At 50.2% G+C, this 17,052-nt stretch overlaps 1 protein-coding gene across 1 annotated transcript in view, besides 4 other annotated features; it reads left to right on the top strand.

Annotated features, from left to right (window-relative positions):
• Positions 1-17,052, top strand: part of ABTB2 (ankyrin repeat and BTB domain containing 2) — a 207,024-nt gene that overhangs the window by 156,385 nt on the left and 33,587 nt on the right. Inside the window, exon 3 of the mRNA NM_145804.3 lies at positions 4,088-4,301. Within this exon, the coding sequence (NP_665803.2) occupies positions 4,088-4,301 (214 nt within the window). The remainder of the gene's footprint in view (positions 1-4,087; positions 4,302-17,052) is intronic.
• Positions 6,641-7,469: an enhancer, noted in NCBI's record as "H3K4me1 hESC enhancer chr11:34215704-34216532 (GRCh37/hg19 assembly coordinates)". NCBI's record gives its function as "activates a minimal SCP1, AML or CMV promoter by ChIP-STARR-seq in primed H9 embryonic stem cells {active_cell/tissue: H9 hESC(primed)}" and the evidence as "EXISTENCE:reporter gene assay evidence [ECO:0000049][PMID:30033119]".
• Positions 7,637-8,522: an enhancer, noted in NCBI's record as "H3K27ac-H3K4me1 hESC enhancer chr11:34214651-34215536 (GRCh37/hg19 assembly coordinates)". NCBI's record gives its function as "activates a minimal SCP1, AML or CMV promoter by ChIP-STARR-seq in naive and primed H9 embryonic stem cells {active_cell/tissue: H9 hESC(naive and primed)}" and the evidence as "EXISTENCE:reporter gene assay evidence [ECO:0000049][PMID:30033119]".
• Positions 8,991-9,176: a silencer, noted in NCBI's record as "fragment chr11:34213997-34214182 (GRCh37/hg19 assembly coordinates)". NCBI's record gives its function as "represses an EF-1alpha promoter that drives an FKBP-Casp9 reporter gene in an ReSE screen in both phorbol 12-myristate 13-acetate-treated (for megakaryocytic differentiation) and untreated K562 erythroleukemia cells {active_cell/tissue: K562 | K562(+PMA)}" and the evidence as "EXISTENCE:reporter gene assay evidence [ECO:0000049][PMID:32094911]".
• Positions 14,343-15,106: an enhancer, noted in NCBI's record as "H3K27ac-H3K4me1 hESC enhancer chr11:34208067-34208830 (GRCh37/hg19 assembly coordinates)". NCBI's record gives its function as "activates a minimal SCP1, AML or CMV promoter by ChIP-STARR-seq in naive H9 embryonic stem cells {active_cell/tissue: H9 hESC(naive)}" and the evidence as "EXISTENCE:reporter gene assay evidence [ECO:0000049][PMID:30033119]".

The raw sequence follows: 17,052 nt of genomic DNA, 5'->3' as shown, positions 1-17,052 counted from the left end.
GGACCTCAGAGTGTACCCTGAGTTTACATGCATTAACTCCCTGAGCCTCTCCAACATCAGGCTGCCAGATAGGGTGAGAAGTTTCACTCTTGTATGAGATCCAGCTTCACACGGAGTTTTGGGACTTGTGCTTTTTCTTTGTCCCTCTCTACCCGCAAAAATTTTAAAGGGAGAGAATACAAAATAAAACAAAACACTTCTTTTTGAAGGGAGCCAGATGTTCTAGGCCTTATTTTGAAGACGGTGTTGAATTCCAGACTCTCTCCTGCTGTTTTTATTTGATGGCTCATAATGAGAGGTGGAAGGACCAGAGTGAAACCTAGCACCTCTAATCAAGTCTTTCATGGTTAACAAGGGGGGAGGACTTGTTTTTCCTTGCCTGGGGGGTGTTTCTGGGCTTCAGACTAAGGTTTCATTGAGTGTAGGATCAATTGAAGTTTCAGAAGAAGCTCTGAGTCCCTGCCATGCTTAAACTGAGAGCCCAGCCTAGCCTGCATCAGGCCTTCTCAAACTATCCATGGTGAAGGTCCAGAGATTTTATTCCCCTCAGTCTGCTGCAGAATGAAACCTTTATAATGAAAAATCAAAATAAATGTCTAGAAAAAGGAAATAAGACATGTGAAATGCAAGCCCGATTTTTAAAATTATTATTAGCTAGATATAAAATTACTGTCAATTGCTATGTAAGTTTTTAAAAATTCACTCTTCACTTCTGAAATTAACTTACTGCAAACCAGTAAGTTTGTGGACCTGTCCCGGTTCACAGACCACACTTTTAGTAGCAGCCATGTGATGGTCAAGAGCATGCGTTTGGGAAGCAGGGACCCCAGTTCAAGTCCTGGCTGATTGACTTACTAGTTGCAGAACTGGGACGGGTCATTTAACTCTTGCAAGCTTGCTTCCTTGTCTGTAGAGTAGAAAGACCTCCTTCACAGGGTGGCTGAAAAAGTTAAAGGAAATTTTGTCTATCTTTTCATGTCTGTCATGAAGCCTAGAAAATACAAAGTGGCAGGGAGCAAAAATCACCCTAGGAGAAGGTTCCAAGCAAGCCGCTTTCTTTGCCATAAGTGGGTTGCCACGCAGTGTAAGTTTTTAGACGTCACAGTCAGAGTTCTCTGCAGCCATTTGTCTTTCTGGTCTGAGAGAAACTGACCATAGCAGGGCTTGGATCGAAGAAGCCGGGGACCTCCATCTCCAGCTGCCTTCGTGGTTTTTCTGAACTTTTGGGTTATCTGCTTCTGTTTGGATGGGAGATTCCATTTCTTTCTTGATTTTCTTGTCTACATGAAGCAGGAAGTGTGCTGCCAAAGGGTTCTCCACCAATAACAATAAAACAACAATAAAAATAATTAAAGATAATGACTTCTACCTTGTTGAGCCTTTGAAATGTTATTTCAACAAGGTTTCTCTTTGATGCTATCACAGACTCTTTGATTTCTCCTCCTTGTGGTCCTGTGGTTCTGCCAAAAGTTATGACATTTAGACCTGGAGAAACGGGAGCCAGGTTTCAACTTATTAGCAGCCAACTTAGCTGTACAACTGGCTGCTGTGAGGCGGGTTGGCTGGTGGTTGTGAGGCCAGTTTCTACCACCCATGGAGCCCAAGGGCAGGGTTGGGATCTGGCATTTCAGGGTGCAGACTCCTCCTGTCCTGGGAAATGTGGGGCAGAGTTTGACGGCAGGCAGTAGTCCTGGAAGGAAGAGTCCACAGGAGGCGGCCCGTAGGATAGAGGAATAATAATAATAGGACATTAATTATAACAGTGCTATGTTCAGCCCTACCAAATACTTACTCTGTGCCAAGCAGGATGTTAAGTGCTTTACATTTATTGTTTCTTTGAGCCCTCAAAATCAGTAGGGTAGATACTATTGTTCCCATTTTACAGATGAGAAAACTGAGGCTCTGATAACTACGTAAGGGATTTCTCTTTCTCTGTAAGGAATCGCCAGGGGTGGGGCTTAAGCTGACCTCCGGGGGAGCCTCCCTGAGTTCTCAGGCCTAAGGGAATATGGGCTGGAATTAACAGTAACAGGCCCTGATTTGAGGCCAACTGTGTCTGACTTGAATCAATCTATCAGTTCACCTGGTGATTTTCAAACCTGAGTGGACATTAGAATCACTGAGGGAACTTCTACAAACTAGAGATGCCCAGGTCCAGCCACAGACCAATGAAATCAGGGTCACAGGGATGGAAACCAGGTGTCAGTAACTCACTGCCCTCAGCCCTCTTGGCCCTAGGGTTTGTCAGGAGCACCCAGGCAGCTGAACTCCAACGGTATGGATGAGTAGTCAGGAGTAGGGAGGAGTGAGGAACCAGGGGTGGTGGTGGAAAGGGACAAGGAGGACTTTCCTGGTGGGGATCTCAAACTCCAGGGGTGTCATTTGTCCCTGCCTGGAAGCCAAACACCATCACCGTGGCTGTCATGGGAGAATTTAGCAGCTAATGAGCTCAAATCAAGCCTCAGCAGAAGTTGTATTTTAAAAAGAAATGAATGTGTAAGGTGAATTCTTCATTCTCCAAATATCTGCTGAGAACCTAGTATGTAACAGACCCTGTGCAGGGCTCTGGGACACAACGGAACAGAACACCAGATTCCCAGAAGCAGCATGAAGGTTAATTGAGTAAATGAATGAACTGGTTCTGCCATGCATTTCATGGCACTTCACCGGCCAAATTAAAACCTGTTCATTTCTTCCACCTTAAGGTTAGCCGTGCCCGCCTGTTGAAGGGCTCTCTCTAAGGAATGGCCAGGGGTGAGGCTGAAGCTGACCCCGAAGGAGCTGCTTTTCTTAGAGCGGAGGTGCCTGCAGGTGCCAGGGCTCCTTCAGCCCATCCTTTCTCAGCATTGTGGCCTCACACAATGATGAGCCGTTTCCTGTCTGGGGCTGGTGAGATATTGAAAATACTTAAGTAGAAACACATCACAGGATATGGGGACCTAAGGATCCCACAGACTCCAGCAGGGCAGGCTGCAGCCCAGCTCACAGTGAAGTCCATGGACTTTGGAGTCGAACAGACATGAATTCAAGTCTAGACTACCATTTTCTAGCCACACAGCCATGGCTGGTTAACTCAACCTGTGGGCTCTGAGGTGTCCCTGTGGCCAGGAGAATGAATATATGGGGTCAGGAAATGTTTATCAGATAAGCCTCAAGTTTTTGTTTTTTTTTGTTGTTGTTGTTTGTTTGTTTTTTTGAGACAAAGTCTCACTGTCACCAGTCACCCAGACTGGAGTGTGGTGGCACGATCTCTGCTCACTGCCACCTCCGCCTCCCAGGTTAAAGCGATTCTCCTGCCTCAGCGTCCCGAGTAGCTGGGACTACAGGCGCCTGCCACTATCCCTGACTATTTTTTGTATTTTAAGTAGAGACAGGGTTTCACCATGTTGGCCAGGCTGGTCTCAAACTCCTGGCCTAAAGTGATCCACCTGCCTCGGCCTCCCCAAGGGCTTGGGATTACAGCGTGAGCCACTGTGCCCAGCCATAAGCCTCAAGTTCTTCATCTGTAAAATGGGAATAATACCCCCTAGCACTGTAAGGATCAAATTAAATCATATTTCTGGGGAATTGCATACTTTGTACATAGTGAGTCCTCAACAGGTGATGATGGTGGTGTTGGTGGTTGTAATTGGTGCTGAGACAGAGGGACCTTCTCCGCTGAAATACTTTGGGTTTTGTACAAGACAGTGCAGGGGAGAATTGCCACAGAGCCTGGCCCTGGCTGGTAGAGGCTGGGAAGAGAGACCCAGAGAGATTCCCTTGGTCAAAGATCTGGGGAGAGGCCCATGAGGGTGGTGGAGAGAGTGGGGATGTCAAAAAAGAAACCAAATTACCCTAAGTTCTGGAGGAGACAGGCCCTGCCAAGTATTTAATTCAGCAAGAGTGAAATGAAAGGGAAACGAAATTGCTATTGTGCATCTAGGTGACAGTTTCCACCTCCGCCTGTTGGCTGCAGGGCAAACAGTAATTATGCACTAAGGCAAGGGAGCTTCAGCCAGGAACATCCTTGGAAGAATGCAGGCTGTGAACTCAGACTTTGTCTTCTTTTTTTCTCTTCCTCCCCTCTGCCCTCCCCGCCCCCCACCAGGTGACTTGGTCTCCCGTGCCATGCACCACATGCAGGGGCGTCACCCCCTGTGCCCGGGTGCCAGCCCTGCCCGCCAGGCCCGCCAGCCGCCACAGCCCATCACTTGGTCCCCCGACGCCCTCCACACGCTCTACTACTTTCTGCGGTGTCCACAGATGGAGTCCATGGAGAACCCCAACCTGGACCCCCCGAGAATGACCTTGAACAATGAACGGTAGGGATCTTCCTTGGGCTGAGCACCTGGTGGGACGTGCTCCCAAACGTGCATTGACCGACTGACTGACACTGACTGACGACTGACCAACAGGGCGAGGAAGGGGCCCTGGAACTGTGCTATGCCTGTGAGGAGGTGGCCCAGGAATTCCGATGGATGAAGGCCTGCACTGGTGTGCAGTGGGATTTTTTTTTCCTCTGAGCTGATGCAGCATGGGGCCACTGAGGCTCAGAACGTGTGCTTCTGCCTCTGTGCCCAGTCTGGCATGAGCTCACTGGGCTCTCTGAAATTCAGCTGCCTTGTTATAAAATGAGATAGTCACACCCACCTAGAAAGGTTAGTGCTCTGAGTAAAAGCATGTAGGATGGGGGCTAGGTGGGAACTGGCCCTTGGCCAGTGGTAGCTGTCACCTCTTTTCATGGGTTTATCCCATTCAAAAGTGATCAAATGATCATTGCTGCCGTCATTGTTATGAGGGGTCCTGGGTGTGTTTTGCCCCATCCATTCATTTAACACAGGAGACTATCCTGGCCCTGGCAGCTCTCTGATCTCCAGCAGGTTAGTGGTTGAATAGCCCCTGGACCCAAGCCTGTGGGCTTCTAGTCAGGTACTTTCACTAGAGGGTCCCAACACTTTCCTAGCTGGGAGCAAGGCTGCAAAGAACAGATGTGCAGGTTGTATACTGCACAACAGAACCCAATGAGGGGCATGAGTAGGGGATGCACGTGGGGCCATGTCAGCCTGAGGACAGGATACCTTTTCTTTTTTTTTTAGACGGAGTCTTGCTCTATTGCCCAGGCTGGAGTGCAATGGCACAATCTTGGCTCACTGCAAGCTCCACCTCCAAGGTTCACGCCATTCTCCTGCCTCAGCCTCCCGAGTAGCTGGGACTACAGGTGCCCGCCACCACGCCTGGCTAATTTTTTTGTATTTTTAGTAGAGACGGGGTTGCACTGTGTTAGCAAGGATGGTCTCGATCTCCTGATCTCGTGATCCACGCGCCTTGGCCTCCCAAAGTGCTGGGATTACAGGCGTGAGCCACCGCGCCCGGTCTTAGGATACCTTTTCTAATGGGTTTTCTCTGAGGGCTGCCTTTTGAAATTTTCTACCTGGAAAATATAATATTTTTTTTATAACTCGTACCAAACATTGTATATGCTGGCATGAGCCTCACATGGAGGCCACTGCTTGGCCACTTAAGGTAAGGTCTGTCCATGGGCTCAAGAGTTGTGGGTTTGAGGGTCCAGGAAGTGGGAAAGGCTTGCACTCAGTTTAGGAAGCCCCATCCACACACATTTCACCACTCAGTGAAGCCCAGGAAAGGCAGAGCCCACGGGCCTCAGTGCCCCACCTGGAGGGAGACGATCTGAGACCTCAATATTGGAAGTCCCAGGGGCTCTGCAGTCCCCTTGCCTGGCTGTCCGCTGTCTTTGGGGGGCATTGAGTCTCATCAGCTCTGTGATCCACAGCTGGCTCCACAGCCAGGTCTGCTTCCTCAGTGCCCCAGAAAACAAAGGCACTAAGGTGGATTTACTGAGTGTTTACTATGTGCTAGGCACTGTGCTGAGCAGTTTGCAGGCGGATGCTCAGTTAATTCACACACTACCAAGAAAGAGGTGTTCTTCAGAGCCCCATTTACAGATGAGTAAGTGGAGGCTTGGAGAGACTAACTGGCCCCACGACACAGGCTCATAACCACTACACTGTACCTCCTGTCACTAAGAGGAATATAAAACAGCAGTGGCCCAGTACACGCATAGTAGGGTCCCAGTAAATGGTACCATTGCTGTTATCAGTACTAGTATCCTTATGTCATCATTGTTTTACTTCTCTGGGAGTTGGAGGGCAAATGCAAGTCTGAGGAGGGCCACCCTGGGCCTGACACAGCAAGAAGGCTGCAGGTGGAGCCCTGGGCATCCTGAAAGACACCTTTGGCGGGAGCTGGGGCCAAAGCATAGGCCCTAAGCCCCAGCTGTTCCTGCTTTGTGGAAAAGTGTTGTGGTTGAAGGAGTCAGCTGGGAAGGAAAAAGAGCAGGGAAGATATCTGGGAGGAAGAGGCAGGAGGCTTGCTTGCTGTTTGGTAAGGTGCTGGGCTGAGGCCGGGTCATTCACACAAAGGTGACTGGGAGGACAGGCGCCTTCTTCAGGCCTGTTGCCCTGGCTGCTGGGCCCTCAGGCTGTCATGGCTATAGGCCCAGGGGCAGTCATTCCTCTGCTGGCACTTTCTCCCGCCCCCACTCCCCCCCCCCGCCGGGCATCTTTGTCATGTCCTGTGGCTTTCCCCCAGGAGGGTTCCCAGCCCCCTGTACTCTAATACACAGCATCAGGGTTTCTTCATGATCTGAGTTGCACAGCCCTATGTGGTTATAATAGCTGAGCTTGCATGGTAGTAGACACACGTGCATGTGTTTACGTAGCCATTTATTTAAAAACCGCACTATCTGTAGCACAAATAATTTGGTAGCAAAGATATTTTTCCATGAATCATTTCAAATGAATATCAGACACATGGGGAATTGGAACCCCCATTAGGAAAAAAAAAAAAAAACCAAATTTTTAAGTTATGACACAGAAAGGAGGACAACCCTAAAAATACCTGAGGGAGCCAACAGCCCGACGGCGCCCTGGTGGCCTGGCTCCTGTCGCTGAGCAGATCTGCTGCCCTCTGGCTCACTGACAGGGAAGGCCCTGGAGGCTGTGGGGATCCTTCCTGGGAGCGCTGAGCTTACAGCATTACTGCAGGCTGGGCTGGGCCAATGTCCCATCAAGGCCCCAGCACCCTGATACCCTCACCAGAGCTCTGGGGAAAACCTCTCCTGATGCAAATAGTAGCTGGAGTTTGCTAGGGTTCCAGAGTGGCAGAGCTTTGCTTTTGTGAGTTTGGGGATGTGCGACGTCTGTCTCTTGCTCCACTTCATCCTCCTGAAGCCCCGTCCTCTGTCCCACCTGGAAGCATGGCGGACTGAGTTCACCCAGCCAGAATTGGACGGAGCCCCTGATTTCAATGTGACCGTGGTTGTCTGGCTGTAGAGACTGTCTGTTTGGGGATTGGTGGCTCTCTGGGTTTGTTTGGGATTAAGTGACCTCCTCTACTGCCTTGCACACATGGGAGAGGGAGCTCAGTTTGGTGATATGGGTTTGGCAGCATGACATCATTGATGGAACCACTCAAGTCTGTCCTCATATTTCTGCTTTAAAGAAAGGTACCCTGATTCCTTCAATTAGGGGCTATGTGTGACCACATCCATGGCGACAAAGGGAAGGGACGTGTGTTCATCTCTTTTGTGTGGAGCTCACTGTGGCATTCCCTGCTAAGCCACCTGCTGCTTCTGCAGTGTTTGGTGGGGACTTCACATCTTTCCGTAAGGGGCCTTCTCCCCAGAGCTCTCTGCTCTGGTTTGGGAGAAGAGACAGTGGGAGGAGGGAGGGGCAGAAGCAGCAGGAACTCAGAGTGGTGAGCGGGCAGCCTTGCAGGGAATGAGAAGCCTCTAACCTCCTTTCATCTACTCCTGCAGTGAGCCTGGTGCATCAAGAAACAGTACAGGCTTTGGGGCAGAGGCCTGGGCTCAGAGGGCCCTTCCATGCCTTAGGCTCCTCACCTGTAAAATGGGGCTAAGTAATTCTATCCGGTAGGACAAAGTCAGATAACATACGCCCTTCTTTTAAAGCCCATTTCTACCTACTTCTAGGCCCAAAGAACTTCAGCAAGTTTGGTGCTATCATTACCTCCGTTTCACAAGTGAGTACAGGAGGCCGCGGGGTACCTGGCTGATAAGTGGCGAGGCCAGGATTCAAACCTGAGGTCTCTCTCACCTCAAGGCCTTTGCCTTTCCCTGTGCCAGGCTGTGGCTTTCCCAGCTGGCTGCTGAGACCTGATCCTACAGCACTGAGGCATGCTGGGTGGGCCCTGGCCTTTGGGGCCACCTTCTCTGGGGCCATTCCAGCCCCACCCCCTCACTATCCTGGGAAAGCTCTGCAGCTGGAGCCTCCCTGCACCCTTCCAGGGTGCCTTTCTCACTGGCAGCTTTGCATCCCAGGCACCAGCCAGGCACAAGGCAGAGTCTAAAACACAGAATTAGTCACAGCTGCTGCCCTGCAGGGTGTGTCATCACCGGAGATCAAGCTTAGAAAGTGAAAGAGCCTCTTGTCAGGGATCCAGGTTGCCCAGGGAGATCGGGAGCCTCCTTCCTCTGAGGTCTGGAGGAGAAAGGACAACCATCTGGTTAGATGTGGCCCTTGCTGGTTGTGCCTGGGGGCAGAGGGATGGGCTAGCTGGAACAGAATCTTTGGCAGAGGATATACCTCCTCAGCCATCACCCTTCTGGGGAATGAGAGGTCTGGGGCAGTAAGGATAAAGACTACGCAGACACGTAGGAAGGCAAGAGGGCCGCCCGCTTGCCAGCAAATTGCTGGAAGGCAGCGTCATCAAGTAGAGGAGACAGAGGGAGACATGCAGTCAGAGGTGCAGAGGGCCTGAGGTCGACAGGAGGTGACCATTTCTCCACATCAGAACCTGGGCTGCTGGAGGGTTTGGGGTCCCCCAGGCACCCTTCCAGACTGCATCTACTGTGAGCAGCAGCAAAGAAGCCAGACCCTTGAGGAGTGGCCAGGCAGAGAGAGTGGGAATGGCAGAGGGCCACTGGTCCACAGAGCGGTCCGCTTGCTAAGCCTCAGATCCTGGCCTCTTGCCTCGTTCTCCCCAGCCCTGCACAGCACGTCTCCGCCTCTGTGGAGGGTGGCACACTCAGAAGGCTTGGAGCCTGCTGGTATCCAGGACATGAAAACAGGAGGAGTGTGGAACCCTTCCCAGAGTTCTGATTGGGGGTCGGGCCTAGAAACCTCTGGTGTCATGACTTCGTAGCCAGCCAGAATAGCCCCATCTGAGGAGGGCCCTGCTATTCAAAGGCGTGCATTTGAGATCTACCTTGCCACTTTTTATAACCTTCAACCAGTCATTTAACCTCTTCAAGGCTCTTAATCATCTGTAAGGTATGCGGACCCAATGAGTTAACATATTTGGGGGGTTTTCTTGGAAACAGGGTCTTGCTCTGTCTCCCAGGCTGGAGTGCAGTGGCACAATCTCAGCTCACTGCCTCTTTGACATCCTGGGCTCATGCAATCCTCCCACCTCAGCCCCCCCAGTAGCTGGGACCACAGATGTGCCCCACCACACCTGGCTAACTTTTAAAAAATTTTTGTAGAAATGGGGTCCCACCATGTTGCCCAGGTTGGTCTCAAAATCCTGGGCTCAAGGGACCCTCCTGCCTTGGCCTCCCAAAGTGCTGGGATTATAGCCATGAGCCACTGCACCTGCTCACTACATACTTTTAGAACAGGGCCTAGGACACACTGAGTATCTGTTCTTATGATTATCAGCACGATGGTTTGTATCAGGCAGGGGAGCAGCATATACAGAGTCCAAGTGGCTAGAGGCAGCAAGGCACCCCAGAGAGACCGGCGATGGGGAGGAGCAGAGCAAGGGAACACGGGCACTGTTGTGCAGGATGGAGCACAGAAGTGGGCGGACCTTGTTGGCCAAGACACACAGGGCTGAGCTTGTGGCTGAGAAGGTCCTGCCCCCATTGGTGCAGCTATTTGTGATTGGCTGGGTTTTATTTGTCCTTCTTCCCACACTTCCCTTCTTGGGGCCTGAACCCTTCTAAGAATAAGGGCAGCAGAGGGTCCAGGAAGCCCCTCCCATGCTGCTTGTCTTGATGCTCCTATAAAGGTCTGCCCTGGAGAAGTCTGATATGTAGTTCTGCACCCCCAGACAGGTTCAGGAGAGACGAGACCAGGGTGCTGATGTTATACTAATCTTGTTCTCCAACTCACATAGAGCTCTTTTTGCTAGGGCTAGCAGGACCTGCTCAGAGGTTGAAGCTCTTGTCCAGGTGAGATCCTGGTAGACGATAAATGTGTGTCTGGCCCAGCTCTTGGCTTCCCTGTTCCGTATCAGGCTAGACAGAATTTCAAAGAGCTGGAGCCAGCGAACGTGTCAGTGCTCTGGGTTCCAGCCACTTTGTTGGAAACGCACACCTGGGGCTTTTTTTCTCTTTAAGAGACTGGCTCACTCTGTCACCCAGGCTGGAATGCAGTGGTGCAATCATGGTTCACTGCAGCCTTGAACTCCTGGGTGCAAGTGATCCTCCCACCTCAGCCTCCCAAGTAGCTGGGACTATAGGTGCATGCCACCATTTCACCTGGGGCTTCTGATGGTGACCAAGGGGAGGAGGGTGCCATAAGCCTCTTGGGTCATCCCAGAGGTGTTATCTCATCTACCTTCTAGGAGTATGACCATGTCAACTCATCTTCCTGGGCCTCAGTTTCCTCATCAGTAAAATGGTGAAGATAGTAGTATGGCTTCTACGGTTAAATGAGATAATACAGTAAAGCACTTAGCTAAATGCTAGGCACATAAAAAGTGCTCATTAAATGGTGTCTCCTCCTCATTATAATGGCCATAAACAACATTTAGATGGCATGTTTGACACTCAGAGCAGGCTCTCTTTATTGAGGTAGCATGACATTTCCTAAAATGTGATTCTCAAGTGATATCTGGGTCAGTAATACTACTACTACTACAGTTATTAATACTACTACTGATGATATTACTACTAATTAACCACTACCACTATGACTAATAATAATACAATTACTAAGATTACTGCTACTACCAGCATTACCACTACTGCTAGTTATAGCGAGCGTTATAGAGCACACATTCACAGACAGATACTGTCTTAAGTGCTTGACTTACTCCTGTTTCTCCCTGGACTCCTGCGGATCCATGGAGAAGGGCTCTAGGAGAATGATAAAGAGTGGCTTATGAGTCTCCAGCCTAATGAGGGAGACAAAAGCAAGACGGAAGTAAACAAATGAGCAAAACCCACCAGACAGTGCAGGAGGAAGCTCAGGTGCATGATGGTGCATGAGGTCAGCCCTCAGGCTCTGAAGTCTGCCTGGATTCCAATCCCAGCCCTGCCACTCACGAGCTGGGTGGCCTCAGGCATGTCATTTACCCTCTGCATCTCAGTCTCTTTTTTTTTTTTTTTGGGGGGGCAGCGGGGCAGGGGTGGGGCAGGGGCTGGATGGAGTCACACTCTGTTACCCAGGCTGGAGTGCAGTGGCACGATCTTGACTCACTGCAGCCTCCACCTTCCAGATGCAAGTGATTCTCCTGCCTCAGCCTCCCGAGTAGCTGGGATTATAGGCACATGCCACCATGCCTGGCTAATTTTTGTATTTTTAGTAGAGACAGGGTTTTGCCATGTTGGCCAGGCTGGTCTCAAACTCCTGTCCTCAAGTGATCCACCTTCCTAGGCCTCCCAAAGTGCTGAGATTACAGGCATGAGCCACTTGCGGCCAGCCCAGTCTCTTCTTAATAGGTGATTAATAGTGTCAACTTCATAGGGGTGTTGTGGGGATCAAGTGAGTTAATATACATAAGGCACTTAGCATAGTGCCTGGTACACAGTAAGAAGCAGCAGCAGCAGCATCACATTTAAGAGGATTCTGAGAAGGCTGGAGTAGGTGGGGGACATGTCGGAGCAGACCTGGGATTTTTAACTGGGCCTTAAAGGACAGCCACAGAAGATTGGGAGAGGTGAATGGCATGGGCAGCAAGAGTCATAGAAGGACTTTTGTTGTTTCAGAGCATGAATTTTATAACAGAAATGGACCTACACTTTAAAAACATAAAAATTAGTTGAGTGGTTGTTGTTGTTGAGACAGGGTCTCACTCTGTCACCCAGGGTGGGATGCAGTGGCGTGATCACGGCTCACTGCAACGTCGACCTCCTGGGCTCAGGCAATCCTCCCACCTCCACCTCCTGAGTAGCTGGGACTGTTGGCCCACTCTGCCATGCCTGGCTAATTTTTTTATTTTTTGTAGAAATGGGGTTTCGCCGTGTCACCCAGACTGGTCTTGAATTCCTGGAGTCAAGGGATCTGCCCAGTCAGCCTGCCAAAGTGCTGGTGTTACAGGCGTGAGCCACAGTGCCCAGCATTTTTTATTATATATATATTTCTTTTCTTTTCTCTTTTCTTTTCTTTTGGCTAGTCAAGTGAAACAGTGGGAGTGGCGAAGGAACAAGGAAATCTGTAACTGGTTGTGATCGATTAATTGTAGAAACCACTGCACTCAGACCAGCAGTTGGTTTTTTAAGTCATCGCTGATTGTTGTTTATCTAGGCAAATACTTCAAGGTCAAGCTGTAGGTCAGTGGTTTCCCAGTGGAAAAAGAAGTGCATCCTCTGAGCCGCTGTGGGATGAGGATCAAATCCCAGCTCTTTTCTTCTGGCTCTATGATCCAAGCAAATCATCTTACCTCTCAGAGTCTCCGTTTCCTCCTGCATAAGGTAGAGATCTGAACTGTGCCTGCTTCCTAAGGTGGGGAAATGCCCTGATACGAGTGAGGTACCACATCAAGGCACCTCTTTGTTCCATTCCAGATGCAGCAGGGAGAATGTTTCCCTCAGACAGCACTTTACATAAAGAGGACATGCCCACAGATAGGCTGTGTGTTCAGTCTGAAGAAGTGGGCTCGTTAATCTTTTGCTCAGCTTGCGAAAGTGTTTTCTTATCAAATAATAGAGATGATGGCAGTGGTGGCTTTATGCTACTGACTTCTGAGTTCCTTAAATACCATTTCAAGAAGATTTGCAATGTTAAGCTCTTTTCTCTCCTTTCCTCTCCCCCTTTTTGTGCATTAAATTTCCATCTGTTTACCCAAAATGGAAGTAAATGAAATAAGAATAGCTATTGGGTGAATTAAGTACTTGTTTCCGTGTATTCCCCAGGCTGGCACATCCACTAGCCTCTGAAGGGACTTGTTCACAGTCTACGGTGCACACAGGGAGCTTCCTTTCCACTGCCAGGAACCTCCCTCACTGTACGCTCTTTTTGTTTCCTTCAGAGCACCTTCCTCTATCTGAAGTCACCTTGCTCATGTCTGTTCCCTCCCCACCCCTCTGGAATGTAAGTGCCCTCGGTCTGCCCTGTTCCTGCTGTGTCCTCAGCACAGTCCCAGGCATGTGTAGTAGGCAGTTAAATATTTTGCTAAGTTAATGAAATAGGTGGTAGAACCTAATGGTTGGGTTCTTTGGAGTTAAAAAGGCCATGATATGGGGTCCCGGCTCTGCCATTTCCTAGCTGTGTGACTTTGGGCAAGTTACGTGATTTGCCAAGTCTCAGTTTCCCTTGCTTGAAATAGAAAATGACTTGAAATATTTCCAGAATTTTTTGTGAGGGGCGAATAAGGTAGCTACATGTTAAGGATGTGGCAGAGAATAAGGTGTTTGTGCATGGCAGCTGCTATTATCAGAATAATCACTGTTACCATAAGCCTGCGTGAAGGCCAAAAAGACCACGTTGTGTTCAATGAACAAGCAATCCAGAAACATTTGTAACAGCAAAAATCATATCTTCTCAACATGCATGTCTTCTCTCCTTCTCATCCATCCCTCCCTCCTTCCCTCAGTCCCTGCTCTTTAGTCCATCTTAACTCAGCCCTCAGAGTAGCTGGGAGCCAGGTGAGTGAGAAAGATGAGAGGCTCACACCTGTAATCCTAGCACTTTGGGAGGTTGAGGTGGGAGGATCACTTTAGGAGTTCAAGACAAGCCTGGGCAAAATAGTGAGACCCCATCTCTATAAAAATAAAAATTAGCTGGGCATGGTGGTGCATGCCTGTAGTCCTAGCTACTCAGGAGGCTGAGTGGGAGAATCTCTTGAGCCCAAGAGTTCAAGACTGCTGTGAGCTATGATCTCACCAACTGCACTCAGCCTGGGCAACAGAGCAACACCCCATCTCACCAAAAAAAAAAAAAGGCAAAGAAGATAAGGTAGACGAGAAGACCACATCACAGAAGGCTTGTTAAACGAGGCCCATTTTGGACATCTACGAAATTTAGCCTTATCACACCCTACCCAAGGATTTCAAAGAACTCTACAAACTGGATTCCATTTAGCTATGGGATCAAAGACGAAGCCAACTATCAGTCACTCTTTAAAGTTGGTGACGTCCCTGGCCCCACGCCTGCTGGTTTAGCCATAGTGCCTATGTGCAATGGACTGCGGCTGCTGAAGGTTAAACTTGGAAGAGACCTGATCTATCTTTACGTGGGCTGGAAGCATCTAGACAAAGTTTTACAGTTTACAGAGCTTGTTTAGTACACAGCTCTCTAACAGGTCCTTACAGTAGCTCTTGGAGGAAACTATTACATTCCCATTTATAGCGAGCAGACTGAGGCCTTGAGGAGGTCCGAGGCATGCCCACCATCACAGCTGGTAAGAGACAGATCTCAGCTCAGGAATGGAGGTCGGTTGTATCAATAATAATGCAATGAATTCACATTGCTCAGAGTGGTAAATCCCTTCCCCTCCCAGGAGGGGAGAGGGTGAGACCCCGGAGCCGGGGATCTCGGTCAGCACCTCCTTTTCCCAGAGCGGTGTGGGCAGCTTGCTCTCAGCTACTTGGGGCCTCTTTCTCAGCAGGCTTGCATTGGCTGGCTCTGGGAGGCCAGCCTGGGGGTGGGCGTCTGCCCAGCATCCGAGAAGGAGCGAGCCAGGGATTCGGGGCAGGAAGTGTCAGTGCCACATAACAGGGATAGAGACAGGACAGGATCCTGGCCCGGCCTCTGACAAGCACCCCCCAGGGCTGGCTGTTGCATGGGACTTCCTGTCCCATTGTTGGACCCACCGGTCCTCGCAGAAAAGAAGACTGGGAACTGCCGGGCCCGAGGAGCTTCATTCATTTGGAGTGTTTTTGTAACACGGGCAGCAACAATCCCCTTTGTCTGCAGTCTTGCCAGGATTCTCAATGCAGGGAATTCCCAACTCTAAAGGGAATTGATTTTGCTTTCTTAAAGAAGCCTGCTTCCGAGGCGAAGCTGGAGAGCATTCAGACCCTCAGGATGGGGGGAGGACAGGAGCTGGGTGGTATCTGGAGCCAAGCCGAGCTGGTTCCTGGCGTGCTCTCACTTGCCTGCCAGGCAGCTCTTGGGATTTCTATCCTCTTGCAAGACCAGCCGCCCTGACAGCTGTCTGTGACTTGCCCCTCCCCGCTTTGACTGCTTTAATATTTGTGGATTTGAGGGGAAAGGGCTCTTAAGGTGCCTGGGGTGCACCCCCTGAGGCACTGGAGCCCAGCCTTCTGTTCCCGGCCGAGTTCAGGGCCTGATGAGGCTGAGAGAGCAAAAGCTGGAGGTTGGGCGGAGCGGTGCCGTGGGCCCCAAGGCAAACCTTTCTCCATCACGCCTCCTTCCAGCTTTCCACCCACCAGGGCTCAGAGCATTTCATGCCTGCAGTTTGGTATCCTGAAAGACCCCCAGGGTGGTTTGGGGGGTTTTGTTGTTGTTTATAATTGACACATAATAACTGTATATGTTTATGGGGTACAATGTGATGGTTAAATACATGTATACATTCTATAATGATCAAATCAGGGTCCTTAGCATGTCCATTGCCTCAAACCTTCATCAGTGCTTTATGGTGGTAACTTTCAAGATCCTCTTTTCTAGCTGTCTTGAAACATATAATACATTGTTATTAACTATAGTCATCATACTGTGTAAGGGAATACCAGGACTTATTTTTCCAATCTAACTACAACTTTGTACCTGTTGACCCACCTCTCCCCCCAACCCCACTCCAGCCTCCAGTGACCATTCAGAATGGTTGTTTTTTAGAACCAGACTAATCACCTTTGTCTAGCTATGTCACCTTGGACATGTGACCTACCCTCTACAAAGGCTGTTTCTGCATTTGTAAAAATGCAGACTAATAAGTATATCTCCCTCGCAGGGTGACTGTTTCAGAGGTAACATATGCAACCTCACACCCACCTGGCACAGAGTAGGCCCTGAGCACATCTCAGCAAGGTGGCTTTGCTGCTCAGAAGCCAATGCCAGTCTTCCCTGCAGCTGCCCTTGTGATGTGGATGCACAAAGCAGGGTCAGGCCCTGTCCTCTGAGCTTGCACTGTCTCTTCCTCTCTCTCTGTCTGGGCTGGAGTGTACCACCCCTCCATGACCCCCATCCCATCAACAGCTCAGGTCAAAACACTGCTTGCCAGTCAAGAATTTCACTCTCATATCAGGCTTCAAGAGCCCTCACGCCACTGCTTCTTCCTAGAAGTTTCTAGAAACTCTTCAGCTGACAATCTGAATGGGTCATCTTTCTGCCTTATACTATGAGAGTTGGGGAAGGTGAGTGCTGTGTGATTACAGTTAGCTGAATCCAAACAGGATTACCTATCCCAAGAGCCTAAACAAAAGTCCCCCAACCCTGGCCCACAGCTCAGCAGATAGGATAAACCTCGGGGTCCTCCCACGTCTGTCTTCTTGGCAGAGGCCAATGGGTGGTGGCAGGTGCCCTCGGGAGGGAGGTATGTTTGAGCAGGTTGGAGGTCCCCGCCTGTCTGGTTTCCATGTGGTGAAAGAGCTCGTGGTCTCTGGTGAGCCACCACAAACACCGCTCATGGGAGAAGAAAGCGAGTCCCTGGCACATGGCTGCAGTGAGCCCCATGGGTGGGGCGTGGCCAGTAGGCCTGGGAGCTGCTTCCCAATGAGGTGGAGAGATGCCGGCTTTCACACCTGCCACCCAAGGGTGTGGGAAGCACTGAGGCCCAGGCCTGCTGGACCAGCTGCCTGCCCTTGTGCTGGGGCAGCCATGCTGGGGAGTTCTGGCCTGAGAAATGAGGCAGATGTCCTGGCCCTTGCAGGGCTAGGAGCTCTCCCTGCCGTGTGGGAAAGCG

The sequence above is a fragment of the Homo sapiens genome, chromosome 11 (genome assembly GCF_000001405.40).
Source record: "Homo sapiens chromosome 11, GRCh38.p14 Primary Assembly".
In the NCBI taxonomy this organism is placed as follows: Eukaryota; Metazoa; Chordata; class Mammalia; order Primates; family Hominidae; genus Homo; species Homo sapiens.
Note: the sequence above shows the minus strand (reverse complement) of the source record. Positions and strands in the feature narration are given on the sequence as shown.